The 26155-nt window shown below is 47.0% G+C and overlaps 2 protein-coding genes across 18 annotated transcripts in view, besides 20 other annotated features; one reads left to right on the top strand and one right to left on the bottom strand.

Moving 5' to 3' along the window:
* Nucleotides 2854-2993: an enhancer, noted in NCBI's record as "active region_8015". NCBI's record gives its function as "activates an Ori minimal core promoter by ATAC-STARR-seq in GM12878 lymphoblastoid cells {active_cell/tissue: GM12878}" and the evidence as "EXISTENCE:reporter gene assay evidence [ECO:0000049][PMID:35858748]".
* On the bottom strand, nt 6282-16998 carry ING1 (inhibitor of growth family member 1). 5 transcript variants are annotated; one of them, NM_198217.3, is made up of 2 exons: nt 16644-16998; nt 6282-10392 (listed from the first exon to the last, which is right to left on the bottom strand). In NM_198217.3, exons 1-2 carry the CDS (start codon nt 16645-16647, stop codon nt 9689-9691), a joined length of 708 nt encoding a protein of 235 aa, NP_937860.1. In that variant the 5' UTR covers nt 16648-16998; the 3' UTR covers nt 6282-9688.
* Nucleotides 9660-10351: an enhancer, noted in NCBI's record as "H3K27ac-H3K4me1 hESC enhancer chr13:111371617-111372308 (GRCh37/hg19 assembly coordinates)". NCBI's record gives its function as "activates a minimal SCP1, AML or CMV promoter by ChIP-STARR-seq in naive H9 embryonic stem cells {active_cell/tissue: H9 hESC(naive)}" and the evidence as "EXISTENCE:reporter gene assay evidence [ECO:0000049][PMID:30033119]".
* Nucleotides 13074-13767: an enhancer, noted in NCBI's record as "H3K27ac hESC enhancer chr13:111368201-111368894 (GRCh37/hg19 assembly coordinates)". NCBI's record gives its function as "activates a minimal SCP1, AML or CMV promoter by ChIP-STARR-seq in primed H9 embryonic stem cells {active_cell/tissue: H9 hESC(primed)}" and the evidence as "EXISTENCE:reporter gene assay evidence [ECO:0000049][PMID:30033119]".
* Nucleotides 13074-13854: a biological region, named in NCBI's record as "H3K27ac hESC enhancer GRCh37_chr13:111368201-111368894".
* Nucleotides 13115-13204: an enhancer, noted in NCBI's record as "active region_8014". NCBI's record gives its function as "activates an Ori minimal core promoter by ATAC-STARR-seq in GM12878 lymphoblastoid cells {active_cell/tissue: GM12878}" and the evidence as "EXISTENCE:reporter gene assay evidence [ECO:0000049][PMID:35858748]".
* Nucleotides 13495-13544: a silencer, noted in NCBI's record as "silent region_5517". NCBI's record gives its function as "represses an Ori minimal core promoter by ATAC-STARR-seq in GM12878 lymphoblastoid cells {active_cell/tissue: GM12878}" and the evidence as "EXISTENCE:reporter gene assay evidence [ECO:0000049][PMID:35858748]".
* Nucleotides 13575-13854: a silencer, noted in NCBI's record as "silent region_5516". NCBI's record gives its function as "represses an Ori minimal core promoter by ATAC-STARR-seq in GM12878 lymphoblastoid cells {active_cell/tissue: GM12878}" and the evidence as "EXISTENCE:reporter gene assay evidence [ECO:0000049][PMID:35858748]".
* Nucleotides 13945-14114: an enhancer, noted in NCBI's record as "active region_8013". NCBI's record gives its function as "activates an Ori minimal core promoter by ATAC-STARR-seq in GM12878 lymphoblastoid cells {active_cell/tissue: GM12878}" and the evidence as "EXISTENCE:reporter gene assay evidence [ECO:0000049][PMID:35858748]".
* Nucleotides 14625-14694: a silencer, noted in NCBI's record as "silent region_5515". NCBI's record gives its function as "represses an Ori minimal core promoter by ATAC-STARR-seq in GM12878 lymphoblastoid cells {active_cell/tissue: GM12878}" and the evidence as "EXISTENCE:reporter gene assay evidence [ECO:0000049][PMID:35858748]".
* Nucleotides 14735-14994: a silencer, noted in NCBI's record as "silent region_5514". NCBI's record gives its function as "represses an Ori minimal core promoter by ATAC-STARR-seq in GM12878 lymphoblastoid cells {active_cell/tissue: GM12878}" and the evidence as "EXISTENCE:reporter gene assay evidence [ECO:0000049][PMID:35858748]".
* Nucleotides 15085-15374: a silencer, noted in NCBI's record as "silent region_5513". NCBI's record gives its function as "represses an Ori minimal core promoter by ATAC-STARR-seq in GM12878 lymphoblastoid cells {active_cell/tissue: GM12878}" and the evidence as "EXISTENCE:reporter gene assay evidence [ECO:0000049][PMID:35858748]".
* Nucleotides 15535-15724: a silencer, noted in NCBI's record as "silent region_5512". NCBI's record gives its function as "represses an Ori minimal core promoter by ATAC-STARR-seq in GM12878 lymphoblastoid cells {active_cell/tissue: GM12878}" and the evidence as "EXISTENCE:reporter gene assay evidence [ECO:0000049][PMID:35858748]".
* Nucleotides 15735-16084: a silencer, noted in NCBI's record as "silent region_5511". NCBI's record gives its function as "represses an Ori minimal core promoter by ATAC-STARR-seq in GM12878 lymphoblastoid cells {active_cell/tissue: GM12878}" and the evidence as "EXISTENCE:reporter gene assay evidence [ECO:0000049][PMID:35858748]".
* Nucleotides 16099-26155, top strand: part of CARS2 (cysteinyl-tRNA synthetase 2, mitochondrial) — a 72113-nt gene continuing 62056 nt past the window's right edge. For 10 of the 13 annotated variants that reach the window (NR_147942.2, XR_001749667.3, XR_007063696.1 and 7 more), the window contains exons 1-2: nt 23505-23751; nt 24050-24100. Coding sequence is in view for 7 of the 13 variants with exons in the window: in NM_024537.4 (NP_078813.1) it covers nt 23528-23751; nt 24050-24100 (275 nt within the window). In the remaining 6 variants the exon portion in view is untranslated. Of the gene's footprint in view, nt 16485-23105; nt 23251-23504; nt 23752-24049; nt 24101-26155 lie in introns of those variants that run through there. The other 3 variants (NR_147941.1, NM_001352252.2, XM_006719953.4) reach the window with 2 other exon arrangements.
* Nucleotides 16755-16804: an enhancer, noted in NCBI's record as "active region_8012". NCBI's record gives its function as "activates an Ori minimal core promoter by ATAC-STARR-seq in GM12878 lymphoblastoid cells {active_cell/tissue: GM12878}" and the evidence as "EXISTENCE:reporter gene assay evidence [ECO:0000049][PMID:35858748]".
* Nucleotides 16925-17264: a silencer, noted in NCBI's record as "silent region_5510". NCBI's record gives its function as "represses an Ori minimal core promoter by ATAC-STARR-seq in GM12878 lymphoblastoid cells {active_cell/tissue: GM12878}" and the evidence as "EXISTENCE:reporter gene assay evidence [ECO:0000049][PMID:35858748]".
* Nucleotides 17083-17251: a silencer, noted in NCBI's record as "fragment chr13:111364717-111364885 (GRCh37/hg19 assembly coordinates)". NCBI's record gives its function as "represses an EF-1alpha promoter that drives an FKBP-Casp9 reporter gene in an ReSE screen in K562 erythroleukemia cells {active_cell/tissue: K562}" and the evidence as "EXISTENCE:reporter gene assay evidence [ECO:0000049][PMID:32094911]".
* Nucleotides 17405-17494: an enhancer, noted in NCBI's record as "active region_8011". NCBI's record gives its function as "activates an Ori minimal core promoter by ATAC-STARR-seq in GM12878 lymphoblastoid cells {active_cell/tissue: GM12878}" and the evidence as "EXISTENCE:reporter gene assay evidence [ECO:0000049][PMID:35858748]".
* Nucleotides 22578-22697: an enhancer, noted in NCBI's record as "active region_8010". NCBI's record gives its function as "activates an Ori minimal core promoter by ATAC-STARR-seq in GM12878 lymphoblastoid cells {active_cell/tissue: GM12878}" and the evidence as "EXISTENCE:reporter gene assay evidence [ECO:0000049][PMID:35858748]".
* Nucleotides 22708-23087: an enhancer, noted in NCBI's record as "active region_8009". NCBI's record gives its function as "activates an Ori minimal core promoter by ATAC-STARR-seq in GM12878 lymphoblastoid cells {active_cell/tissue: GM12878}" and the evidence as "EXISTENCE:reporter gene assay evidence [ECO:0000049][PMID:35858748]".
* Nucleotides 23138-23697: a silencer, noted in NCBI's record as "silent region_5509". NCBI's record gives its function as "represses an Ori minimal core promoter by ATAC-STARR-seq in GM12878 lymphoblastoid cells {active_cell/tissue: GM12878}" and the evidence as "EXISTENCE:reporter gene assay evidence [ECO:0000049][PMID:35858748]".

The raw sequence follows: 26155 nt of genomic DNA, 5'->3' as shown, positions 1-26155 counted from the left end.
ATTAGTTTCCAGATCTTTGTTTCTAGGTTTGACCCTCTGCTTTCCCTGCACTAGAGGAATGTTGGCCTGGCACCCTATAAAAAGATTTCAAGTCGCCCCATCATTGAAGAGAGGAACACAACGCCTTTGGTAATAGAACAATATTTTATCCCATGAACACACTGCAGTGACATAATTTCACAGTAAAGCCAGAAATGTCATTCATTAGCTTCTCCCCTATGCTGGATATTAAGAATATAAATAAAACTGTCATAAGAGTCATTCTACAAAATAACATTATAGAAATATAAGAGGAAATAAAATTAGTAAATCTGTCCATGTATTTTGGTTCCTCAAGAAACAGTATTCCTGGTATTATTAAATTTGTTCTTCTATGGTCTATTTATGTCTTATATTTTTCAAAATTTAGGTTGCACTGCATCCTCAGTGGCAGGAGTTGTAACCTCATGTAAGATCTGCCTCACACCAGTGTCCTGTGAGAGCTTATCACAGTCCTCCCGTGCTGCTTTCCTTTGACCTTTCTAGATCATTCCTGAAGTATGGAGCCACATGCAGTAAGCCTCACAAGCTGTTTCCTAATTGTCCTCACACATTCTATTCCCATTCCTCCCCTGCAGTGCAATCTAGCTGTTACTTCTGTAGACTGGGTTCTTAGCTGCTCATCTTTTTATTCTCCACATCCGACTTGGCACTTTCTAAAGAATTAACGTCTTGACTGGGCGCAGTGGCTCACACCTGTAATCCCAGCACTTTGGGAGGCTGAGGTGGGTGGATCACCTGAGGTCAGGAGTTCGAGGCCAACTTGACCAACATGGCAAAACGCCGTCTCTACTAAAAATACAAAAATTAGCCAGGCGGGTGGCTGTAATTACACGTGGCGGGTGCCTGTAACCCAGCTACTCAGGAGGCTAAGACATGAGAATCGTTTGAACCCAGGAGGCGGAGGTTGCAGTGAGCTGAGATCGTGCCATTGCACTCCAGCCTGGGAGACAGAGCAAGACTCCATCTCAAAAAAAAAAAAAAAGAAAGAAAAAAAAAAGAATTAAACTTCTTGGTCGAGTGTAGTTTTCAAAATTTGCAAAGTGAAATGGTTCTTACCAGCCTTCCAAGATGCCAAGGAAGGTCATCCTTGTATATCTTGACTTTCAACTACCTCATATTATTGAAGATCTTTGTGTCATAAAAGTATTTCATTGTTAGTTGACTTCTAATTTCTCATGTTTATGGAACAGATTGATGGTGCAAAGAGTCATAAATATTTTGAAAATTGTGTATATTGGCCATGGAAAACTATAATTTCCCCTCTTCCATCTAACTTTTACTTACTTTAAAATACAAAAATTAATTTCCATTCCCTGAACACATCCCAATTAAAGGGAAAAGAATTAAGCCAGAGCCAGTAGCTGTCAGGGTGGCACAAGCGTCTATTCAAACACAGCACCTATCAGGGCAAGTGTTTGTTTTTGGTTTTGGTTTTGTTTTTGAGACGGAGACTCGCTCTGTCGCCCAGGTTGGAGTGCAGTGGCATGATCTCGACTCACTGCAACCTCTGACTCCCGGGTTCAAGTGATTCTCCTGCCTCAGCCTCCCGAGTAGCTGGGACTACAGGCAAGTGCCACCACGCCTGGCTAATTTTTTGTATTTTTAGTAGAAACGGGGTTTCACCATGTCGGCCAGGATGGTCTCAACCTTCTGACCTTGTGATCCACCCGGCTCAGCCTCCCTAAATGCTGGGATTACAGGCTTGAGCCACCACACCTGGCCGGGGAAGTGTTTTTAAAATGGAAAGATTTGCTCTAACATAGCACCTGACTGTCCACAACAGACTCCAGCAGCTCAGTGTCCACCACACCATCTACCCCTTGGCCACGGTGAGCCTCGTGGATGGGTCTCCACCTGGTCCGCACTGTGTCTGAACACATCTGTGCTGCAGAGAAAAATCCTTGCTGCGGTGTCCTCATTGCTCTTCCGATTCCTGAATTTTCTGACACTTCTCTTATCTTTCCTGTCTTTGCTTGAGACATAGTCAATTATTGTTACTTGCAACCAAAAGATGCTCAAATAATAGAGAAAATAAGTATTTATCTAACAATTTCTTATGTTAAATAAACACTTTGGGAGACAGCAAACTGTTTCCAGGCATCTTTGTAAATGGATACATTGTTAAACTCTGTGATTGATCATTACATTTGTTTTTATAAAATTTTATAATAAAAATTTTATAATAAAAATAAAATTTATTAAATGTAATAAAAATATTACATTAATGTCTCAAATATTACATGTCTCAAATATGTAATGACATTACATGTCATTACATGTCTCGTTACATTACATGACATTACATGTCTCATTACATTAATGTCTCAAATATTAATCATTTAGAAATATTGCATTTCCAATGGCATACAGATTTATCCAAAAATATTCCCTTCACACAAATCAAACTGAAATTCCCTTTTAGGTGTGTTTTTAGAACTGGTTTCCAAGTTAGAAAAGAAAATGTTTCATGTTTAAATGTCAATTCTTGGATTCAGGCTTTACTCTACACGTCTTTATTAAAGGCCTATGGCTTAACACGAGAGACCCACGGTTCCTAACGTCCACATAAATGAGAACAGGTGCACCCATGAAACAGCATGGCTGATGAAGCGGGGGAGTGGCTCTGGCCTGGAGTAACAGCACTTCATCCTGCCGGCAGCCCCACCACCAACTCACGGAGTGCCTTTGAGGAAGTGGCTTCATCACCCTTGGGCCTCGGTTTCCTCACCCACACAGTGAAGAGATTGAATGAGATTTTCTGCCTACTCTGAATTCAATCAAGAGGTGAGTCAAAAGGAAGTTTAGTAGGCTCTGATTGCTACTAAAAATAAAAATTCGATGTATTTACTTCTGTGTTCTACAACGAGAAATGGAATTGTTTATAGAAAAGCAGCCATGGAGGACTTCCTCCTCGTGCAGCAGGAACCTGGCAGTGACCGCTAACATGCTAAGGGTGGACTTGATTCTCTTTAGCTGTAAGGAATCACAAGTCCATTTTTTAAGAATACATGTGTTAAACTAGAATAATTTGACCAAAAATATTACTCAAATTGTTATCTGTACAGTGCTCTAGCATTTCTGAAGTATTTTCAGACATTAACAAGTCTGGGCCTCCACTCCTGGGATGGGCATTATCACTGTCCTTATTTTGCTTCTGAGAACATTGGGTACAGAAGAGTGACTTCCTTGAGGTTAACCTGTGATAAACTAGTCCTGATTCAAATCTGACTTTGACTCTCATGCTGATTCTAGCACCGTGCATGGCTCCTAGTGAATTGCTTAAAACCTTGCAGGTAGGCTGGGCACGGTGGCTCATGCCTGTAATCCCAGTACTTTGGGAGGCCGAGGCGGGCGGATCACCTGAGGTCAGGAGTTCAAGACCAGCCTCACCAACATGGAGAAACCCCGTCTCTACTAAAAATACAAAATTAGCCAGGTGTGGTGGCGCGTGCCTGTAATCCCAGCTACTCGGGTGGCTAACGCAGGAGAATTGCTTGAACCCGGGAGGCGAAGGTTGCAGTGAGCAGAGATTGCGCCATTGCACTCCAGCTTGGGCGAAACTCCATCTCGAAAAAACAAAACAAAACAAACAAACAAAAACCTTGCAGGTAAATTACAATCCTAAAATTCACTGTAGGGCAAAACAAGAAACTTGAAGTAAGCATCCTGGTTTACCTGGAGGAAAATCAGAAGCATGAGAACTTGGTAGTGCAAATACCCGTGGCTCCTGCAGATCCCTTCATTCAGGCAAAGAAGCCCAGCAATTAAGACTTTTTCGCTCTCTCCTCCCGTGAGACCATGAGCGTTTCTTTCACCTTCTATGGCTTTCTCAGTTGTAAGACCCCCACAGAGCTGGGAGGACAGCACACTCCTGGCATGTTAGGCGTTCAGGGAAGACCAGCAGCAACGCCAGGTCCTGACCATGAGGAGGCCTCCGGGTGCCAGGCGGTGGTCAAGGATGCTGGTTTTGGAGCCAGATGCAGGGCGTTGGCCTTGTGCAAGTCAGGTCCCTGGCTGGAGTCTCAGCACCTTCATCAGGAAAAGCAGCCATTTTTTGGCAGGGTTGTCATAAAATATGAAGTATGCAGTGCTAGCAATGTCTAGCATATAGGAGGCAATAAATGGTGGCTATATTGATATACATACACCACGACACTGAGTACCTTTATTTAAAGTTGCCTGCTGAAACAAGCATTTTCTTGTTTCGTAGAAAATTCTACTTTAATATAAAATATTATACCATTGAAGAGTTTGGATGTGTAACTTGTGATGCCTTAGAAAAATATCCTAAGGGGCTAGGTGCTGTAGCTCATGCCTGTAATCCCAGCACTTTGGGAGGCTGAGGCGGGTGGATCACCTGAGGTCAGGAGTTCGAGACCAGCCTCACCAACATGGAGAAACCCCGTCTCTACTAAAAATACAAAATTAGCTGGGTGTGGCGTGGTGGCGCCTGCCTGTAATCCCAGCTACTTGGGAGGCTGAGGCAGGAAAATCTCTTGAACCCAGGAGACGGAGGCTGCAGTGAGCCAAGATTGCGCCATTACACTCCAGCCTGGGCAACAAGAGCAAAAATCCGTCTCAAAAAAAAAAAAGGAAAAAAGAAAAAGAAAAAAATCCTAAGCACAAAATAAATTTTTCTAACCACTTCAAAAAAAAAAAAAGAAAAAAAGAAAATTTCTACTTTAGCCAGGCACGGTGGCTCACACCTGTAGTCCCAGCACTTTGGGAAGCTGAGGCAGGTGGATCACCAGAGGTCAGGAGTTCAAGACCAGCCTGGCCAACATGGTAAAACCCTGTCTCTACTAAAAATACAAAAATTAGCCGGGTTTGGTGGCACACGCCTGTAATCCCAGCTACTCGGGAGGCTGCAGCAGGTGAATAGCTTGAACCCAGGAGGCGAAGGTTGCAGTGAGCCGAGATCGTGCCATTGCACTCCAGCCTGGGCAACAAGAGCAAGACTCTGTCTCAAAAAAAAAAAAAAAAGAAAAGAAAAAAGAAAAAGAAAAATTTTACTTTAATGGAGTTTACTGGCTCCAGTCAAGATTTAACCTGGGCTGGGCGTGGCGGCTCACACCTGTAATCCCAGCACTTTAGGAGGCTGAGGCGGGCGGATCACGAGATCGGGAGTTTGTGACCGTCTGGCCAACATGGTGCGACTCTATCTCTACCAAAAATACAAAAAAATTAGCTGGGCGTAGTGGTGCATGCCTCTAATCCCAGCAACTCGGGAGGCTGAGGCAGGAGAATCGCTGAACCCAGGAGGCAGAGGTTGCAGTGAGTTAAGATCAGGCCACTACACCCCAGCCTGGGTGACAGAGCAAGACACCGTCTCAGGGGAAACAAAAAAAAAAAAAAAAAAGATTTAACCTGTTACTCAGTTTGTAGTAGCTTCTTTTCAGATTGGGGTTTTTAATTGGAAAAATACCAACCCCATCTTTATGAACAGTCAAGTAATACAGAGTATTTGAGGTAAGGAAAGAGAACTGGCCTAATGATTTTCTTCATTCCAGTTATAGAATTCCTCTCATTCTTTTGGTGGCACAGGGGGCACAGCTCACTAATGTTTGGTTTGTTAGAAAAAAATGTAATAGTTGGATTCTCACTGATGAGCTGCTTAAAAAACAAAGACGGAATAGTTAAAATAAATACTCTGAAACAAAGCCCCTCATAAAAAGCCTCAGGAGGCAATTTTGACTTAGTAACACAACACACATTTGCTCTCCCACCTCCTTCCCATTAGCGGTGTCTTCCTAAGCCCTCCACGAGTTCACAATGAGAGCCTGTGCAGAGAACACGAGTGCCTCAAGAAATGCAGTCACGGACTAGCAATTTTTCCAGATTAAAAAAACCCCGGAAATCTAGCCCCCAAGGTGCTGAGAACTGCCTGGACTCTGCGATGAAAGAGGCACATTCTACACGCTAAAATGGAGAGGGAGGCAGACAGTATCAATAAAACCTCTCTCCATATATGCCAAGGATTCTAGAGCCATAAATTACATTAGATAGAAGGAAAAAAGCTAGATGTCCTCGAGAGCACATCATGTCTTTAGAAGTGCACAGATGAAGCTCTTAATCATTTTGCCTAAGAAAAAGATTTAATACTTTAATGAAATATTGAAGTGTTCAGGTAAGTTCCAGGTAACTTATTACCTGGAACACTACATAAATGTGAACTACAAAAGGATATCACAACTAAATGTGTACTCTTTCTAAAATAATATATAATAAGAGGAAATGGCTTTTACTTTGATAAATGCTTTATTCAGCATTGGCAACCACCGACAGTCTCAAGTATTGAGACAACTCACATAGCTCTAATCACACCAAAAGAGAACCACCAGCCAACGTCCCAGTCACTGGCAAGTGCGTGCCTGCAGGTCTGTGACTCCTGCAGCACCTCTCTCAGCACCTGGGGAGCCTGTCCCAGGAACACCATGGCTGCTCAACACTTCCTTGAACATACAACGTTTCTTTAGTCCAGTTTACAATAGAAAGTATTATATCATAACGAAAACACTTTGGACCCTTTATCTGAACTGTAATAACTTGGTTATTATACAACAAATATGCATTGAACATCTAAGTAAAAGCAACTGTTCTATATTAGATCGCTTTTCAGTAATCTATTTTTCAAAAAGAATTCAGTACCATTTTTGTCCTCATGTCGGGATTCCAGGATCTTTCTATTGTATCTAATCATGATCTAAATCCCAAATCTTGAGTGTTTTAAGTACTTATCTGTGATTTTTTTTTAATGTCCACTGGAAATAACAAGAGTGATTTAAGACTGCCAGTCCAACACGACTCTGTATTGTATCTATTTTTTTTTAAAGAATAAGTGGCTACCCACCTGTCCTTATGAGAAACTTGAAGAAAGCTAGAGAAAAATTATCCAACATTTGAATATGCCAGTGCATTTATTTATTGGAACCACCCTCTGTGAAACATACTTTAAAAGTGTAGAACTATAGACCAACTGTTAAGCAATTTATTCAAGATCAAGCCCTTAAAGGACAGGGCTGGGCTCCTAGATTGCAAGGCTTGGCCTCTGAGCCATCTCTCTTCACCAGTTGTCTACACCAAAACTGAATATGAAGAAATCCAGGATGAGCAACTGCATTTCATTGAATCTTCATTTCTATAACTTAATTTGCATTATTACCTCCAATTAATATAGAAGTGAAAAATTAGCATGAAATTTTATATAAGCAAAGACTCAAGCTATTTTTATTGTCACTGGATGTTTATTAAGTATTTTAGTTTCATAACTTATTTTCATAAACCTTTTGTTCACTATTTGTTTGGGTAAATCTCATCAAATTTAAACACCCGAGACTCTTAAATGTTCTGGAGTTTTGTGGGAAAATAAACACCTATTTGTAAGTATTGATATGTAAAAAGTTCAAATTTTAGTATATGACCAACTACAATTTGCATTTCTCTACCAAGTAACCCTCTATAATGGAATTTCACTGTAAAACAGACACTTATGTCCAGCACAAATAAAGTTCACAATAATTGTTTATCACAAGTAAACAATCAGCAAACTTAATGTTTTACTTATAATAAATACATGCCATATACTTAGATTCTAGAAAGTCATCACTCACTACTTCTTTGTGGTAGGTAGCTTCACAGAGACTGTGAAACAGATCATGGAAAGAAACTGATTTTACCATGTGCGAAGTTAAAGGGAACCACGTATCACTCAGCGCACGGTGGCTCACGCCTGTAATCCCAGCACTGTGGGAGGCCGAGGTGGGCGGATCATGGTCAAGAGCTCGAGACCATACTGGCCAACATGGTGAAAACCCATCTCTACTAAAAATACAAAAATTAGCTGGGCATGGTGGCACGCACCTGTAGTCCCAGCTACTCGGGAGGCTGAGGCAAGAGAATCGCTTGAACCCGAGAGGCAGAGGTTGCAGTGAGCCAAGACTGGGCCACTGCACTCTAGCCTGGAGACAGAGTGAGACTCCATCTCAGAAAAAAAAAAAAAAAAAAAAATGAAAACTCCAGCCGGGCACGGTGGCTCACACCTGTAATCCCAGCACTTTGGAAGGCTGAGGCAGGTGGATCACCTGAGGTCGGGAGTGCGAGACCAGCCATGACCAACATGGAGAAACCGCGTCTCTACTGAAAATACAAAATTAGCCAGGCGTGGTGGTGCATGCCTGTAATCCTAGCTACTGGGGAGGCTGAGGCAGGACAATCGCTTGAACCTGGGAGGCGGAGGTTGCGGTGAGCCAAGATTGCGCTATTGCACTCCAGCCTGGAACTCAATCTCAAAAAAATAAAAAATAATAAATGAAAACTCCACTGACCCTTTCAATATGTGGGCAAATCAATGTTAGATGCTAGTCTAAATCAGAGGTCAGCAAACCCTTTCTGCAGAGGGCCAGAAAATAGTTTTGGCTTGTCAAGTCAAATGGTTTCAGGTGCAACTATTGAACTCTGCCGTTTTGCAAAAGCAGTCAGACAATACATACGCACATAAGCACGGCTGTGTTCCGCTGAAACTTTATTTATGGACACTAGAATTTAAACTTCATATAATCTTCAAACAGATGGTGGGCTGAACTTGACAAGTGGGCAGTAATTTCCTGACCCAGGGTCTGAATACAGATTCTTTTTTGACACGTATTTATTTGCTGGCAATTAAGTAACTTCTACTTCATTATTAATAATAAGTGAGAACAATAATACAAAATTTGCTTAAGGCTTTGTCTAAATTGCTGGTGTATAAATTTTTAAGACAAATTTTAAAAGTTACTTATGTCAAAATTAAATATACTACTAGAGGAACAAACTGGCCAAGTTTCATTTATTTCTTCACGTAACATTTTTACAGCTCACATACAGCAGGAAGCACACCTTTGCACATAATTGTGACATTAGCTTCACAACAGCATCTGCTGACTGCACTTCCAATTATAATATAACAAGTGCAAGTTCATTTGGAAATGTACATTTATACACCTGATATAAATTAAAGATGGGTACACTATGATTGGTGATAGCAAAAGCATGACTTGAGGTTCCTTGACTAGACCACTTAAGAGAAGTGTACCCAAGCATTTTAAAATGGCCATTTGGGGAACAGGCCAATAGATAAAATATCTGTCATGTAAAATTTAACCATTTACCTTTTTAAAAAATAATCTTCAAACTTTAAACCTTTGTTACTGAATTGTTATATGGATATACATCATGGCAGCAAGAAACACATTTACTATAGGCTGTATTTTTGGCGACATGGCCAATTAAAAAAAATTGTTCATAAAGTAATAATATTACTTGTATTAAAATAAAAAAGCTAAATGAAATATTTTCCTTCCACATTTAATGTGTTAGGTTGAGTTTAGTCCCCCTCCTCCCGCAAGAAATCAGTCTGAGACTTAAGTGTTGAATCAAACCTATATTTGTAGTTTCTAAAATGCTGATCCACAGACCACTTTCTTGTTACACGTGTACCAATGAAAACAAAAGGCAAACAGAATCACTGCCATCCCTATGAAAGGAATGGTTCCTTTACTAACATTCTTTAAAAATATACATTTTACACTCCTTGCACCTCAACAAAGGCAGCAATGTAATAAATACACGGTTTATTTTGTCCTCCTCACACCAGGCGCCTGTCCACAAACTACCTGTTGTAAGCCCTCTCTTTTTTGGATTTCTCCAGGGCTTTGTCCATGGTCTTCTCGTTCTCCCCCCGGCACTTGGGACAGTACCACTTGCCCTTGGGTTTATGATTGAGCCCCACGCACGAGAAGTGGAACCACTCGATGGGGCACTCGTCGTTGTCGCAGCCGATCATCTCCCCATAGGAGACCTGGTTGCACAGACAGTACGTGGGTTCGTTGGGGTCGATGGGGAGGTCGGCAGGGGACGCCTCTCGCTCCGCCTTGGCCTTGGAGCGCTTCTTCTTCTTGGAGGTCTTGGCCTTCTTCTCCTTGGGTGTGCCCGAGGCGCCGTCGTCGTGGTCGTGGTTGCTGGACGCGTTCTCACGGTTCTCGTTGTTGCGCTGCCGCCGTGAGCGCTTGCTGTTGGGCTTGTCAGCCTGCGCTGCCGCCTCGCCTTTGGGCCTGTCCGCGCCAGCCTTGCCGCTGTTGCCCGCTGTGTCGCCCAGCTCCTGCTGCGCCTCGAACAGCTCCACGTGGCTGTCCACCTGCCGCGTGCGGTTCTCCACCAGCTCCACCATCTGGCTCACGATCTGGATCTTCTCGTCGCCCAGCTCCTGGCTGCGGATCAGCGCGCGCTGCACACAGTGCAGCATCCGCCGCTTCTGCGCCCCGTCTGTCTCGCGACTGAAGCGCTCGTAGCACTCGTCTAGCTCCTTCAGGATCTCTGGGGGCAAGAAGGACAGGCGTCACTCGCGAGCAGGACACCGGGACAACCCACACGGCCCCGGACGGGTCTACGGAGAGGGCTGGCAGGGAGCCTAGGGGCCAGCGCACGGCTTGCCCAGAACAAAGCCCACCAGCCACAGGCTCTCCCGGGCCTATCTGTTCCTGTGCTAACCACAACACAACACAACACAACACAACACAACACAAATGCCGGCCCAGCTTCCACAGCGGCAGGAGCCGCTCCAGCCACCCCAGGGAACCTGAGAACAGTTCCCAGGCACGCACGGGTGACAACGCCCGAAGCCATTAAGAGGAAACGTTTAAATGAGGTGCAGTGCTCGGGACCCAACATTTATTAATACTTTCTATTAATGACTATGTCTATACTGCCATCATTTTTACTCAAATGTTTCTATTTGAATACAATTATTAATATACATATAACATTATATAAACATGGTATTTATTACATTTATACACAATATACAAACATTAATAAAATATATTATAAATTATTTGAATATTTCAAATAAAAAAGGTCTTTATTTTCTTTATTTTAATATACCAACATCTAGAATACCCTGTTAAATGAGAGAATGTGTATAAATTTATATAATAGCTCTCTATGATTTAAAGAACCGGGTTAACAGTAAAGGTCCAGGATACTTTGTGACTTAGGTCCTCAGTTTCAGTCCCCACATTTATTCTAGCATGTTATCCCTCTGTATTAGTGACAGCAAGAACAGTTCTGCCACAATAATCCAGAAAACCTAGCTTTGCTTTATTATTATTACGACTTGTTATTATTTTGGAGACAAGGTCCGTCTCTGTCGCCCAGGCTGGAGTGCAGTGGTGCAATCTCGGCTCACTGCAGCCTCGACCTCCCAGGTTCAAGGGACCCTCCCACCTCAGCCTCCTGAGTAGCTGGGACTACAGAAGCACCACTGTGATGGGCTATTATTATTATTTTTTAACTGCAGTGAATGCACTAGCCTTGCTTTAAAGCGAAGCTGGTAGGTTTTACTTTTGCATCTACTGCTTAAACAAAAACATCTTCACATCTGTTAAAGTCAATGGACTTTAAAATGTTATCAAAAACAAAAGAAAACCTCTTCAGTATTTAAATGTAAACCTTCCTGGGCATGTTAGAGGACAGTGTATATGATTTTAAAGTGTAATTTGGCAAGTGTAATTAGGCAATTTCTCAAGAAACAAAAGCTATTAAAAAATCTAGTTGAAGTAAACAGCCTTGCTAAAAAGGCTACTTAAATACACAGAAATTCCAGAGTTCTTTTTCCTCAAACAGTAACCATTAAATTAAACAGTACCAGATTATTCTCCTAAAACCTTTTTGCAGTCTCTTTAAACAAGGCAACAATACTACCTTTTTTTGTTGTTGTTGAAACGGAGTTTCACTCTTGTTGCCCAGGCTGGAGTGCAATGGCGCGATCTCAGCTCACTGCAACCTGCCTCCCAGGTTCAAGCGATTCTCCTGCCTCAGCCTCCCGAGTAGCTGGGATTACAGGCATGTAATACCACGCCCGGCTAATTCTGTATTTTCAGTAGAGACAGGGTGTCTCCATGTTGGACAGGCTGGTCTCCCAACTCTCGACCTCAGGTGATCCGCCCGCCTCGGTCTCCCATGGTGCTGGGATTACAGGAGTGAGCCACCGTGCCTGGCCAACAATACTACTTGTAAACTAGGGGAGGGGCTGAGAGTGGGAGGGATTGTCTAAAATGTTACCCCCTTCCTTTCCAGATCTTATCTCCAAATAGTTATAAGACATATACCTAACACTAGAGTAAACATAAGAACTCAGGCCAACGCTGAAGCTTCTCTAAATGGTAATATTTTCCAGAGTATATTCTCAAACTAAAGACAGCTTTGAAGACTCCTAGAGGAACAATGCAGGCTGCCTGCCACCAGGAGGAAAGCCCTAGTCTCATATAGTAATTAATTATAAAAATAAATAGCTGTGTTCAACGTATCCAAGTAATACCAATTTATTCAACTTATTTATCATAATGTTAAAATATGTGTACCATTTATTTTTAAATGGATTTAGGGTTACAAAATGGTATCACTTCTTTTCATCAGTAATCAAAGTTCTAAAGACAATATTGTCATTTCACAGAAAACTGTATCATATAAATTTAAAATTTAATAACACAGAAGTTATTTTACATCACAAGCAAGCTTCCATCCAGGTGAAGCCTAATTTGTGGGCAAGAGAAACAGATATCCCATCGCAAAATTACCAAGAAGTATTTCTGTTACCTAATATTTCTTTGATACTCCAAGCAAAGTATTTTATCAACAAAGCCACTAAGTACAAATATTTATAAACAGGAACAACACCACTGCTAAATAGGAAGCCATCCTTCCAGACACTCTGCTTTTTCAATGCCAGCAACTCAGCTTCAGACACTACTGCCTTTTTTCCAAACATATTCCACACCAACATTACCATGGAAAGCAGCAGCACATGCAATTTACAGATTAAATGGGGTTGTAGCAACATTTAAATTGGTTTGTCCAATTATTTTAAATGTATTTTAATTTTACATACGGGTTGCACTGAAGTTCTTTATGAAGCGAACTTCCCAGGGGGTGGGTGGGTATTTTTATGATAATGTTTGAAAAATAATTCAAGCAACCTCAAACACCATTTTAAATCGACAAACTAATTATAATCCAAGTTTATGAATTAACATACAACTGATGCCTACTAAGCAAAAGACGTTTGACTTCCTACAGAGTAGGTCTGTGGAAGTCTTTCAGAACTACGCGGCAGAGCTCAGCATTTACACCGAAGTCCAAGGAGCTGTGACCCTTGCGACAGATTCGCTCGCTTCTCGGCGCTCCCAGCTGCGCCGCTCCAGTACTCCCGGGGGGGCAGGACTGTGATCTTTCCTGAAGCCAAAAAGTTCATCACCCTAGGTGAACATGAAGCAAGCAGCAAGCCAGGCTCTCCCCAGCAACGACAGGAGGACAAAGTGGCTCCATGAACTTTGCTGTCTGGACAGCTGGAACCCTGCACCCCGCCCCGCGCTACTTTTTTCTATCGTCGAACGATCAAAGTGGTCTCAGCCCCTGCCTTCCTTCCGTCCGGAGCCCCAGGGTCACCCCACGGGGCCCGTCCGGCCCGAGGACAGCACCTTCCAGAAAAGTTTCTGCGCCGAGGGTCCCCCTCGTGGACGCAGCCCCAGTCACTCACGTTTCCACGGCCACGCGCGGCCCCACCCTCGGGTCAGCAGAGATGCGGCCTGAAACTGTCTCCGAGCCGGCCCCGCGGGTCGCGGGAGGCGGTCCGAACTGCAGCCCCGGCCCCGAGCCCACAGGCCCGGGATCACTGCTACTGCTATAAATCCGCGCCCGAAAGTGGCCGGGCTGAGCGGGGAGAGGGGCCGGGGCGACACCCGCCAGGCCTCCAGCCAATGGGGAGGAGGCCAGCGGGAGACTCGCCCCGCACCCCGAGAGCCGCCGCCTATGGGAATCGCCGATTTGGAGGGCGGAGGCCAGGAGGAGAACCAACCACACCGCAGGGCGGAAGAGCACGGCCCGCCCCAGCAGCGAGAAGAACCAATCCAAGGCTGGAGGCCGAGCGACCCGAAGACGTTCAAATCAACTCGTCCACCCTCCACCCCGCTCCTCCCCGAAAAAGAAAAAAGAAGACAGCGGAAACACAGACCCATACCAGTTATTGCGCTAGGCCCGCCTTCATCCGCCTCAGCGACCAATCGTTCCGCAGGGGAATGATAAGGACATTCCACGAAGGACATCACAGCCAACTACTGGGGGGCTGAGGCGGGACGTTCCATAATATGCTAATGAAGTTCCTATAAAATTCGCTGCGAAGCTACGTCTCGGATAGAACGCGCAGGGGCGCCTTCCCGGCAGAGGCGTCTAGTACTTTCGGGGATAGCGGTCAATTTTTTTTTTTGCCCCCACCCAACTCTTCCGTTTCCCTACTGCGCAGCCTTGTAAACATTAGTAAACTCCGAGTGGTGATCCACATTCAAAACAGAGCCCCCAAAGCCTTGACTGACCTCGCAGGAAAGTTTCCCCAACAGCCAACAATTCCCGGCGGACACGAACTCGCCACCTCTCTCTGACACCCGGGGCGGCCAGGTCTGCAGAGAACGACGCACAGGTCCTCTCACCTGCCACAGTCCTCTCCAAGCCAGCGATCTGCCCGCGCCCCCCCGAGCGCAGCGCAGATGGGCGCCTTCCCCGCCTCCGCTCCTCCCCTTCCCTTCCCTTCCCTACGGCACACAGAGAAAAGCCCTCGTCCTCCGCAAACTACAACCGGCGGCGTCGCCCCTCGCAGTCGGCCCCTACTCGGTGTCCAGCTCCAAGTGAGGGCCGGAGGGGGCTGGGCGGGGGCGGCCGACCTACCCCGAGCGGAGTACTACCCGGTACTTTATGTAACACTCAGATTCGGGACTGAGTGGGGGGCGACGAAGAAGGGCCAGAGGAACGGCGTTGCCCGGGACCGAGGCACCGGGTCCGCGGGAACCCCGGCCCACAGCCGCCCTCCTCCTGCAGCCCCGTCTCGGCGCCCTATAGCCCCAGGCGCCGGCACATCCCTCCATCTCGCGCCGTAATCTGCACCCCCTCCTAGAGGACGCGGCTTGGACCCGCCGCCCCCTCCCCCGCAGCACCCGCCTCATCACTTCACTACAAAGAGCGCTTTGGTCGCGCAGCCTTGCAGCGAGACCTCTCGCGCCTCCTTCCTCCTCCGTGTCCCGGGCTTTGCACACAAGGACCTTGGCGAATCAAAGGCGCTCCAGACCTTTTGTTCCTGCCCCTGCCGAGGGCCGCCGCTGCGGAGCCGGCCGCTTCCTCCGGTCCACGGCAGGACCGGCCCGGCTCCGCGGCGCGCCCGGACCCGCCGGGAAGGAGGCGGCCGCCCCCGCCCATCCATCACCCGGCCGTACCTTGGTATTTCGCGTCGATCTCCCGCATCAGCGAGACATTTCTCTGCAAGTCGAAAGGCAGGGACTCGATGGAGTCCAGGTAGTCCTCCACATAGTTCACCAGGTGGAGCTGCTCCCCGTTGGCAGGACTCAACATGGTTCACCCCGGAGGTCCCCGGCGACTCGGCGCGGCTTTCCGCTTCCTCCACCCCCCGCCCCCCTCAAAAAATAGCACTGCAAAATGCAAAGCCCTCGCTCTCCCGGCGCCCCCCCGCCGGCTCCTGCTTCGGCCCGGCGGCTACATCTGCCGAGCCCGTCCGCCGCCTCCGGGTCCGCGGGGACCCCAGCGCCTGAGGGCGCGGGCCGCGGTGGCGGTGGCTCCCGGGCGCACGCCCCGGCCGGCGGCGCAGGCCCCCTCTCAGGCGGCGGGGCTGGCGCCGGGGGCCGCGCGTACGAGCGCGCACACACCGGCGGGAGAGGGCCCAGCGCCGCGGCCGCCGCTGCCCACTCGCCCACTGGGCTGGGTAGAAGAGAGGAGCGGAGCGGGCAGCGGGAAGGGGCGCGCTCCGCTGGCCGCCGAGCCGCACTTGTCCAACGTGGAAAACCCAAATACCAGTTTCAAACACTTGGGAAACATTCAGCCCCGCTGCGCAGCGCGCATGCGCCCCGGCCCCCTCCCCCGGCAACGGCCCCGCCCCCCGCCGCATTCACGCCCCTCACCGTCCCAGGCCCTGGGGGCTGCGGGCTCCAGGCCGGCCCTCGCGGGGGCGTGGCCTTGCCTGTCACTTTTTCCAGAGGCGAGGGTCGCGGAGGGGACAGCGTCAGGGCCGCTGGGGTGTGGACGGCGGGCGAGGCGCAAACTTTACTAGGAGTTTTTGGCACTTGGAGGCAGAGCCTGTTGGGCGGCACAGCACGCCCGCTGGGAAACGCAGGGGAGCGGCCTGCTTCGCTGAAAACCCGACCAGGACCTAACGGGCCGCGGGACAGAAACCTCCGAGACCATGGTACACAGCAACTACCGCAACTCGCTCCTCAGCCCCTGACTCTTCGTCCCCGCCCCACAGAGCAGTATAAGTAGGGCCCGAAACAGAACTGGCAACCGCAGTAGCCAATCTACTTGCCAACATCACTTTGACAGCCCAATCACGATGAAGAGGAGGCGGGGAGACCGTGAGTAATGCCCCCCGGACTCTTACTACTAGAAACCCAAGTCCTCCGGGAGGCGGAAGGAAGGGGAGGGCCGGGCACGGGCGGAAGTGGCGGCGCATGCGCACTGGCACCCTCTCGGTGTCCTTTGAGCTGCGGCCGCAGAGTGCGCGGGAGACCTACCCATTCCGCGGCCGGACCACCACTCCCAGCAGCCTAGGCGGCTCCCGCGCCTGCGCCATCCGTCACCGCCCTCCCTTTGTGTCGTCTCCCGGTACTCAGTTTGGAACGGCTTGGAGACAAAGGGGCCTGAGAGGGAAGCTGCTTCCTAGTGCCGAGCCCCAGAAGAGGTGGATAGGCCCGAGGGGCGCCTTCCCTAGGCCTTATCTCTTCCCGCCCTGTGTCATGGACACCGTTCTCGGAGGCCGCTCCCCACACTTGGAAAGGCCGCCCACAGTATGCAGACACCCGGTCGGCCGGCGTCCTGAGGCCATTCAGCTCCCCGGACCGCCCTCCCCCGCGTCGCCCCTCTACCCTCCCAAAGCTCCCGGATTTTGGGCTTTCTGAGAAGCCTGGACGCCACGCGAGCCCGTTGCCTAGGCGACCGGCCCCGCGCGCCGGCCCCCCCCCTTCCGGCCAAAGGGCCCGCCCCTCCTGGGCGTGGCCTCGTGCCTTTGTGCACTTCCCGCCTGGCTCTCTGGTTCCGGGGCGGCCTCGGCTTCGGCCTCCGCCCCGCTGCGGCCGCCGCGGGTCCCCTCCGGGGTGGCCCCGAGAGCTGTGTTCGCCACGCTTGGCTGCCTGCTTTTCTCTGATTTTCTTCCGCCTTGGACCCTGCTCTATTTGCATTGTCTTTTTTTCAGCAAGTCGGAGAACGGTGCCTTGTCAGTTTTCACCTTTCTCACTGGACTTTCTCTTTTCCGGAGAGCCGGGTTGGTGGTGCTGCCTGTGTATTCCACGAACTAAGCCCTGTCCCCAGCCCTTGCAGTGTTTCTGTATCAACTCCACGCCAGCGCGGTTCTCCATTTTTCTTAGCCTCTTAATTAGGACAGGGTCGGATTTCAGCTTTTATCCACCGGGTTTATCCTGTTGCAAAGCAGAGTACACAGTTTTAGACACAAAATAATTGCAGTTGAAATGGATACACATTCTGGTGGTAAGATTTGGAAACGTGGTATTTGATGGAACCCTGTTGTAACATCTAAAACTCTTTGGATTTTTTAAAAACGTATTCTGTGTAATCCAGTAAAAATTTGGATTCGTCCAGTATTTATAGAGTAGATTATTAACCGCAGTGGTGCTCATTCCAGGGCCCTGCCGGGTATTTTGTGCTATGGATGTGAGTACGGCAAAGAGACTGAATTAAGCTGTTTTGTATTTGGAATCGGATTGTTCACGTTGCAACGTTGCTGCAATGATAAATGGATGGATACTCTTTACACTTTGAAGTGGATTTAATCTTCACTTTTAAGCCCCTTCATCTCACCTACACAGCAGGAGAGCTTTGGCTTTGATATTTGGGGAAATGGCTGTTATTTTACTTACAGATCACGCTATTCTAGTCTTGGCCTAGTTAAAAGCAAATGAGTACTTTAGTTTCTACAAGATTTATTGGCCACTACTTGGTCTGCACAAAAGACTATAACACTTGGCCGGACGCGGTGGCTCACGCCTGTAATCCTACCACTTTGGGAGGCCGAGGCGGGCGAATTGCCTGAGATCAGGAGTTCGGGACCAGCTTGGGCAACATGGTGAAACCCTGTCTCTACTAAAAATACAAAAAATTAGCAGGGCATGGTGGCGCGTGCCTGTAGTCCCAGCTATTGGGGAGGCTGAGACAGAATCACTTGAACCTAGGAGGGGAGGTTGCAGTGAGCCGAGATTGTGCCACTGCACTCCAGCCTGGGCGACAGAGCAAGACTATCTCCGGAAAAAAAGAGAAAAAAAGACTACGACAAGATAACATTATGTGGAAACAAACATTATGTCGAATACAGAGTATAGAGGGAGTACAAAGTTGAATAAGGAAAATTACGCCTTTCCCTCAAAAAGCATATAAGTAATTTAAAAGTACAATAGTAAGAAATAGACCGGTTCTTCTATTCCTAGCATTCATTGGCTCTAGAATGAATAGTGTTTATCTGAACTCAAGAATAAAATTGGAAGTAATTTACCCTTTACAAAGATAAGATGGAGTTTAACCTAGGTTTTCTTTTTAAAAAAAAAAATCACAACACAGTACAATCTGAGTAATGATTTTGTTCCTCTAGTTATGTACTCTCTTCACATACACATAAACCAAAAAGGCATCTTAAGCATTCAACAAGGAATATTGACGAGTGTCTACCATGTGCCAACTACTGGTCCGTGCGCTGGGGATACAGTAGTGAAAAGTTTTTTGGAGCTTTACATTCCATAAAACTTTTAGCCCACCCCTTGGGATAAAAAGTCAAAAAAGATTTTATCTTTTTTGGAACAAACTTAGAAGATCAAGCAATAAAACATAATTACCTTTGATAACGAATTTTAAATGTCATTGAAGAAAGGTGCTTAATTTTGAAGATACGTTGAAGAATCTTGTCTCTTTCAGTTTTGTTTCCTGTGGCGTGTTGCAAAAATGGATGTTAAAACTTTTCCGTAGAACAGAAATTTCAAATGGATTAAAAAGAAACATTTAAAATTAAACTTTTTTCTAAAATTATATTTCCAGTCTAACTGAAAATGCTCAAACCTATGAGAGTCAGATATAAGAGATGAACATATAATTCTTTTTCTTTTTTTGAGACGGAGTCTTGCTCTTGTCACCCAGACTGGAGTGCAGTGGCGTGATCTCAGCTCACTGCAACCTCCGCCTCCCGGGTTCAAGCGATTCTCCTGCCTCAGCCTCCTGAGTAGCTGGGATTACGGGTGCCGGACGCCATGCCCAACTAATTTTTGTATTTTTAGTAGAGACGGAGTTTTGTCATGTTGGCCCAGGCTGGTCTCGAACTCCTGACCTCAGGTGATCCGCCTGTCTTGGCCTCCCAAAGTGCTGGGATTACAGGCGTGAACCACCGCGCCTGGCCAAGCATAGAATTGTTTAAGTTTCAAAGTGCTTAAAAAATAAATGCAAACTCATTCATCTTAAACTTGAAAACCCCTAAACCATATGCTACCGTAATCAACTCTACTTCTGATTTACAAGATTTTGCCTTGAAAGAAAATGTAATACTGAGAACTTGATTTTGTTATTGTTGTCATTAAGGACTGAGAAATGGCATTAGTGATATTTTGGAATCATTAACTTTAACACACTTCCTCGTTCTGACCTAGATTGGAGAGGGAGGTGACTTCAATTAAATGGATCCTCTTTTTATGTATATATGGTGTATTAGTCAGGGTTCTCTAGAGGGACAGAACTAATAGGATGGAGATATAGATATATATAATGTATATACATATATATGTTTATTAAGTACTAACTTACATAATCACAAGGTCCCACAATAGACTGTCCGCAAGCTGAGGAGCAAGGAGAGCCAGTCTGAGTCCCAAAACTGAAGAACTTGGAGTCTGATGTTCGAGGGCAGGAAGCACCCAGCACAGGAGAAAGATGTAGGCTGGGAGGTATAGTAATGAAGAGCATTAGCAGTCTATTTTACTTTACCTTAATATTCAACCTGCAGATATTCAATATGCAAAAAGATCACATTTCTAACCATCATTAGGTAATGAGCTATGTTTCTCCTTGTTTTGATGATCCGCAAAAGCCTTAAGAAAACAGAATTAGCTGCCGGGCACGGTGGCTCATGCCTGTAATCCCAGCACTTTCAGAGACCGAGGTGGGCGGATCACCTGGGGTCGGGAGTTCAAGACCAGCCTGACTAACATGGAGAAACCCCATCTGTACTAAAAATACAAAATTAGCTGGGCATGGTGGCACATGCCTGTAATCCCAGCTACTCAGGAGACAAGCAGGAGAATTGCTTGAACCCGGGAGACGTGAGAAAGAGGCAGGAGAATCGCTTGAACCCAGGAGATCACGCCATTGCACTCCAGCCTGGGCAACAAGAGTGAAACTCCATCTCAAAAAAAAAAAAAAGAAAAAAGAGAAAAGAGAATTGGCCAGGTGTGGTGGCTTAGGCCGGTATTCCCACCGCTTTGGGAGGCTGAGGTGGCTGGATCACTTGAGGTCAGGAGTTCCAGAGTCCCAGACCAGCCTGGCCAACATGATGAAACCCCATCTCTACTAAAAATACAAAAATTAGCTGAGCGTGGTGGCACGCACCTGTAATCCCAGCTACTCGGGAGGCTGAGGCAGAAGAATCACTTGAATCTGGGAGGTGGAGGTTGCAGTGAGCCGAGATCGTGCCACTGCACTCCAGCCTGGGTGATAGAGTGAGACTCTGTCTCAAAAATAAATACATAAAAATAAAAATAAAAATGCAAAAATTAGCTGGGCACGGTGGTGTGCACTTGTAATCTCAGCTACTGTGGAGGCTGAAGCAGGAGGATTGCTTGAACCAGGAGGCAGAGGCTGCAGTGAACCCAGATCAGGCCACTGCACTCCAGCCTGGGTGACAGAGCAAGACTGCCTCAAAAAAAAAAAAGAAAACATAATAGAATCACTGCCAGTGAGGGGCTAAAAACATTACATGAATTTTCTGAAGACAGAAGATACTATTGTTAATTTAAAAGTTGTGATGTTCTATGAACAATTCAAATATACCGCATGTCCAGATTCATGTGCAGATTTGATCTTCAGTGTTACTAAGCTGCTTTCAGAATCTCTGCTCCAGTTATTTCCTTGAATTCGTGTGTTCTCACAGATTGCAACTGAGCTTTTTGTTAATTTGCTTTATTTACTGGCACATCTAATATCTGAATCAGCTTTATCAGGTATTTTACTACCCAGATTTCTTCCCACCTGCACAATTAATCCCTTTCGTAAGGGATTAATTCATCAACATTCAACAAGCCCTTTTATTTCTTCTAAATTTTTTTTTTCCAGCCACAGCAAAACAAAACAAACAAAACCCAAGTCCTTTTCTGAATTTAGTGCAGGGCACAGTGAGAAGTTCAAAATAATGTACAATTTAAGATACTCAGGGAGATAAATATACACACAGCACTGGAAAGTTACAAAATAACATAAGGCAGGCAAGAAGTGATAATATTCAGGAGAATTTAGAGTAGTTAGGTAACATGAGTGGTTAGCATTGATGTAGGCTATAGGGTCTCCTAATTCTAACATTTTAACCTTATTAAATTAGACAATAGATTACATTAGACTACAGTTAGCTTGAAACAGAATTGCAGAGTTGGACTCCAGGATATTGAGAAACTACTCTAGGTACACACTTGTTTGTCTCTACTTAAACCTTTGCTTTTTAATAAAACACCAAAGCAAACTAAAAACAACAACAAAAAACCAGAGGAACGTCTCCTGTTTTGAGAACTGGAAAAGCAAAGGGGACTTTTTCTTTTTTTTGAGACATCGTATTGCAAGACACCAATAGAGGCACTTTTTTTTTTTTTCAGGCGGAGTCTCCCTCTGTTGCCCAGGCTGCAGTGCAGTGGTGTGACCTCAGCTCACTGTGAGCTCTGCCTCCTGGGTTCAAGCGATTCTCTTGTCTCAGCCTCCCCAGTAGCTGGGACTACAGATGCACGCCACCACGCCCGGCTAATTTGTGTATTTTTAGTAGAGACGGGGTTTCACCATATTGGTCAGGCTGGTCTCGAACTCCTGACCTCAGGTGATCCATCCGCCTCAGCCTCCCAAAGTGCTGGGATTACAGGTGTGAGCCACTGCGCCTGGCCCAATAGAGGCACGTTTGTCAAGCTATTGTGAGTAACTTTCAGAATGTTTTTGTTCTCAAGATACGGGATCATGGTGGGGGAGGCATGCTGTGTATTGGAGTGCAGACATGGTGTGTGTTGGGTTGCACACTGTGTATTGGGGTGCACACTGTATTGGGGTGTAGATGTGTGGGGGCGCACACTCTATTGAGGTGCACATTGCATTGGAATGCAGACAGTGTTTGCTGGGATGCACATGTGCTGTGTTGGGGTGCACACTGTACTGGGGTGCAGACATGGTGTGTGTTAGAGTGCACAGTGTATTAGGGGTGCACACTGTATTGGGGTGTACACTGTACTGGGGTGCAGACATGGTGTGTGCTGGGGTGCACACTGTATTGGAGTGCACACTGTATTGGGATGCTGATGTGGTGTGTGCTAGGGTGCATACTGTGTATTGGGGTGCAGACTGTATGCTGGGTTGCACACTGTGTATCGGGGTGCACTGTGTTGGGATGCTGATGGTGTGCTGCAGTGCACACTATTGGGGTGCAGATGTGTGTGCTGGGGTGCACACTGTATTGGGGTGCACACTGTATTGGGATGCTGATGTGTGTGCTGGGGTGCATACTGTGTATTGGGGTGCACACTTCTTGGGGTGCAGACTGTGTGTTGGGTTGCACATTGTGTATCGGGGTGCACTGTGTTGGGATGCTAACGGTGTGCTGCAGTGCACACTGTATTGGGGCGCAGATGTGTGTTTGGGGTGCACACTGTATTGGGGTGCACACTGTATTGGGGTGCTGACGTGTGTTCTGGGGTGGACACTGTGTATTAGCGTGCTGACGTGGGCTGTGCTGGGATGCACACGTGCTTCGCTAACAGGCCAGGGCCCGGCAACAGAAGCTTGCACTGTAAACGCTCCTCCCGCGCGGCGGACACAGCTCCAGGCTGGTACCGCGCGCACACGGACGCCTCGCAGGACCTGGGCTAATAAGGAGAGGAGATCGGCACGGTACCGCCTCTTCCCACGGCCTCCCGGCGCGGCACCGCCCTCCTCCCTCCACCCCGGGCCTTCCCCGCCCCAACCTCTTCGGGCCCTGGTTCTCCACCCTTGCCGCGGGCGACTCGAGCCAGGCCAAAGGGAGGCGCTACCTGAGGACTGCTTCCGGGAGTGGGCGTGGCCCCAAGGGCGTGGGCGGGGCGGGGCGGGGCCGTGCTGCTCTTGAGCGACCGGCAGCGTACCCGGCGTGGCTCCCGTCTCCGCCCAGTCGTAGGCGCTGGCCGCTGACATGTTGAGGACTACGCGCGGCCCAGGCCTGGGCCCCCCGCTGCTCCAGGCCGCGCTGGGCCTTGGGCGGGCTGGGTGGCACTGGCCTGCGGGCCGGGCGGCGAGCGGGGGGCGCGGGCGGGCCTGGCTGCAGCCCACGGGCCGGGAGACGGGTGTGCAGGTGTACAACAGCCTCACCGGGAGGAAGGAACCCCTAATCGTGGCGCACGCCGAAGCCGCCTCCTGGTGGGCCGCGCGGGACTGGGGCACGGGCGGGGGCCGATCGTGGCGGAGACTTCCCACGGCTGAACGGGATCTGGGCTCGGGGAGGGCGTTTAGGAAGCTGCATGGAGGGCGCCGTTCTAGAAGCTGGGGGTGCGCGGTGCTTTTGCAGGTTTGGGTGTGAATTGAGCAAGTATGAAAACCCCGGCTATTCATCCCCCAGAAGTGATTACTTTAAAAATTATATGATCATTATAACTCAGAATCGAATGTCCTTTCTTGCAAATATGTTCCACACGATGGATTTTAACTTTGTTTCCAGGTATAGCTGTGGACCAACTGTATATGATCATGCGCACCTTGGCCATGCTTGGTGAGTTTCCTGGATTTGAATTTTCATACTTCAAAGGACCATTTATTTTTGAAAGCCTTTTGCTGATTTCTTTTATCTCTTAAGTGGCAACTTAGGGATGCAGAATAATTCCTACATTCCAGGCATTGTGGGAAATGTTACAACCTCATTTGGTTCTTATAGGGATTCTGAGCACTTACACCCGTTTTACAGGTGAGGAAACTCAGGGAGACAATGGAGCACTGAAAAATGACCCGTTTTGGAACTAGATGTTTTTTGCTGGGTTTAGTGACATCAAGAGGCCTTTGCGGGGTCCCGGGGTCCTGCTGATCAGTCATTCCTGGGCCCCACCACTTCTTAGCTTCACAGCACTGAGCAGGTCACTTTATTGCTTTGAGTCCTGGTTTCTTCATCTTTGAGATGGGAATGATAACTTGGATCTTATAACAATTTTAGTAAATAATGCCCATAAAATGCTGCTTAACACTGTACCTCACATGTGAGATGTCACGGGGCTCAATAGTGATTGAGTAACTTTCCTAAGATGACACATTGAAGAGGTATTGGAACTGGGGTGAGGCTTGGTTTCTCTGACTGCGAAGTGGTTGCTCTCTTGACCTCTTTAACTGTAAGATGTACTGCCTCCTACATTTGCCAAAATTACCACTTTTCCTAATATTTTGTACATTTCCAAAATATAATGTACAAAAATGACATATTATAGATTTTTTAAAACTTAGTATTGTTCAGTCCTAGACTAAAAGTAAAAAGTTACATTTACTCTGTATACTTTTTTTTTTTCTTGAGACGGAGTCGCTCTGTCGCCCAGGCTGGAGTGCAGTGGTGCAATCTCGGCTCACTGCAACCTCTGCCTCCCAGGTCCAGTTGCCGCCTCCTGGCAGCAATTCTCCTGCCTCAGCCTCCGGAGTAGCTGGGATTACAGGCATGTACCACCACGCCCGGCTAATTTTTGTATTTTTAGTAGAGACGGAGTTTCACCATGTCAGCCAGGCTGGTCTCGAACTCCTGACCTCAAATGATCCACCTGCCTTGGCCTCCCAAAGTGTTGGGATTACAGGCATGAACCACCATGCCCGGCATACTCTGTATACTTTAAATATACATTTTTCCCCTTTACTTTGGGCTAACATACTTTTAATTATCAAAAGCATATTTCGACATCTTTCTTGAATTATAAAATATGTTGGGGAAATATTAAAAACAAAACCCCCACCCTGGAAAACCTTTCCACAAAGGTAGAAGAGAAAGAAAACAGTTCTGTTACTGAATAAGCCTTAAACCAGAAGGGGATGAGCTAAAATAACTGCAAAGACAGAAAGAAATCTCATCCTTCTATGGAGCTTTGGGGATACAGCCTGTCTCAGTCTATGAGTCTGCTGTAACAAAATATCCTAAAATGGATGACTTATAAACAACAGAAATTTCTTTCTTTCTGGGGCTAGGAAGTCCAAGATGAAGGCACCAGCAAATTTGGTGTCTGTTGAGGGTCTGCCTGCTGTGTCCTCACATGGTAGAAGGTAGAGGGAATTCTCTGAGGTCTCTTCTATGAGGGCATTAACCCCAGTCATGAGCTCTCTGCCTCCATGACTTTGTCACTCCCAGAGGCTCCACCTCCTAAAACCGTCACCTTGGGAGTTAGGGTTTCAACCATGAATTTGGAGGGAAGACAAACATTCAGACCATAGCATAACCCATTGCTTCAGGTGAGTTACAGTGTGGAGTCAGATGACAAGGTAGGCCCATCTCCTCCCAGGACACTGGGAAACGGGGCGTTATTTTCCTTGATTACATTTCAGAGGTGGGTCCCAGGTTTTGAAATTTTCTTGAGTTGTAAAACTGCCAAGAGGTTTATTTAGCCATTTAAAAGATTGACATGCATTTGAAGAGGACTGAGGAAGAAATCCTAAAAGTTGTTGGGGAGAGAATCTCTTCTCATTTCCAACTAGGAGAGTCAAGTCTTGCAGTTTAAATTTGTATAATATTTACCTTTATGACTACAGAAAAGAATACACATCTTAAGTGCGCAGCTGAATGCATGTTATAAGCTGTGTCCAC

This window comes from Homo sapiens, chromosome 13, assembly GCF_000001405.40.
Source record: "Homo sapiens chromosome 13, GRCh38.p14 Primary Assembly".
NCBI lineage: Eukaryota > Metazoa > Chordata > Mammalia > Primates > Hominidae > Homo > Homo sapiens.
The sequence above is the reverse complement of the archived record's forward strand: the minus strand, read 5'-3'. Positions and strand labels throughout refer to the sequence as shown.

Excerpts from the sequence above, each read along its gene's own strand:
- ING1 (NM_198219.3), bottom strand. The coding sequence starts at position 15,471 with ATGTTGAGTCCTGCCAACGGGGAGCAGCTCCACCTGGTGAACTATGTG. Across the intron at positions 10,393-15,335 it reads GATCGACGCGAAATACCAAG|AGATCCTGAAGGAGCTAGAC; the intron begins GTACGGCCGGGT and ends TCTTGCCCCCAG.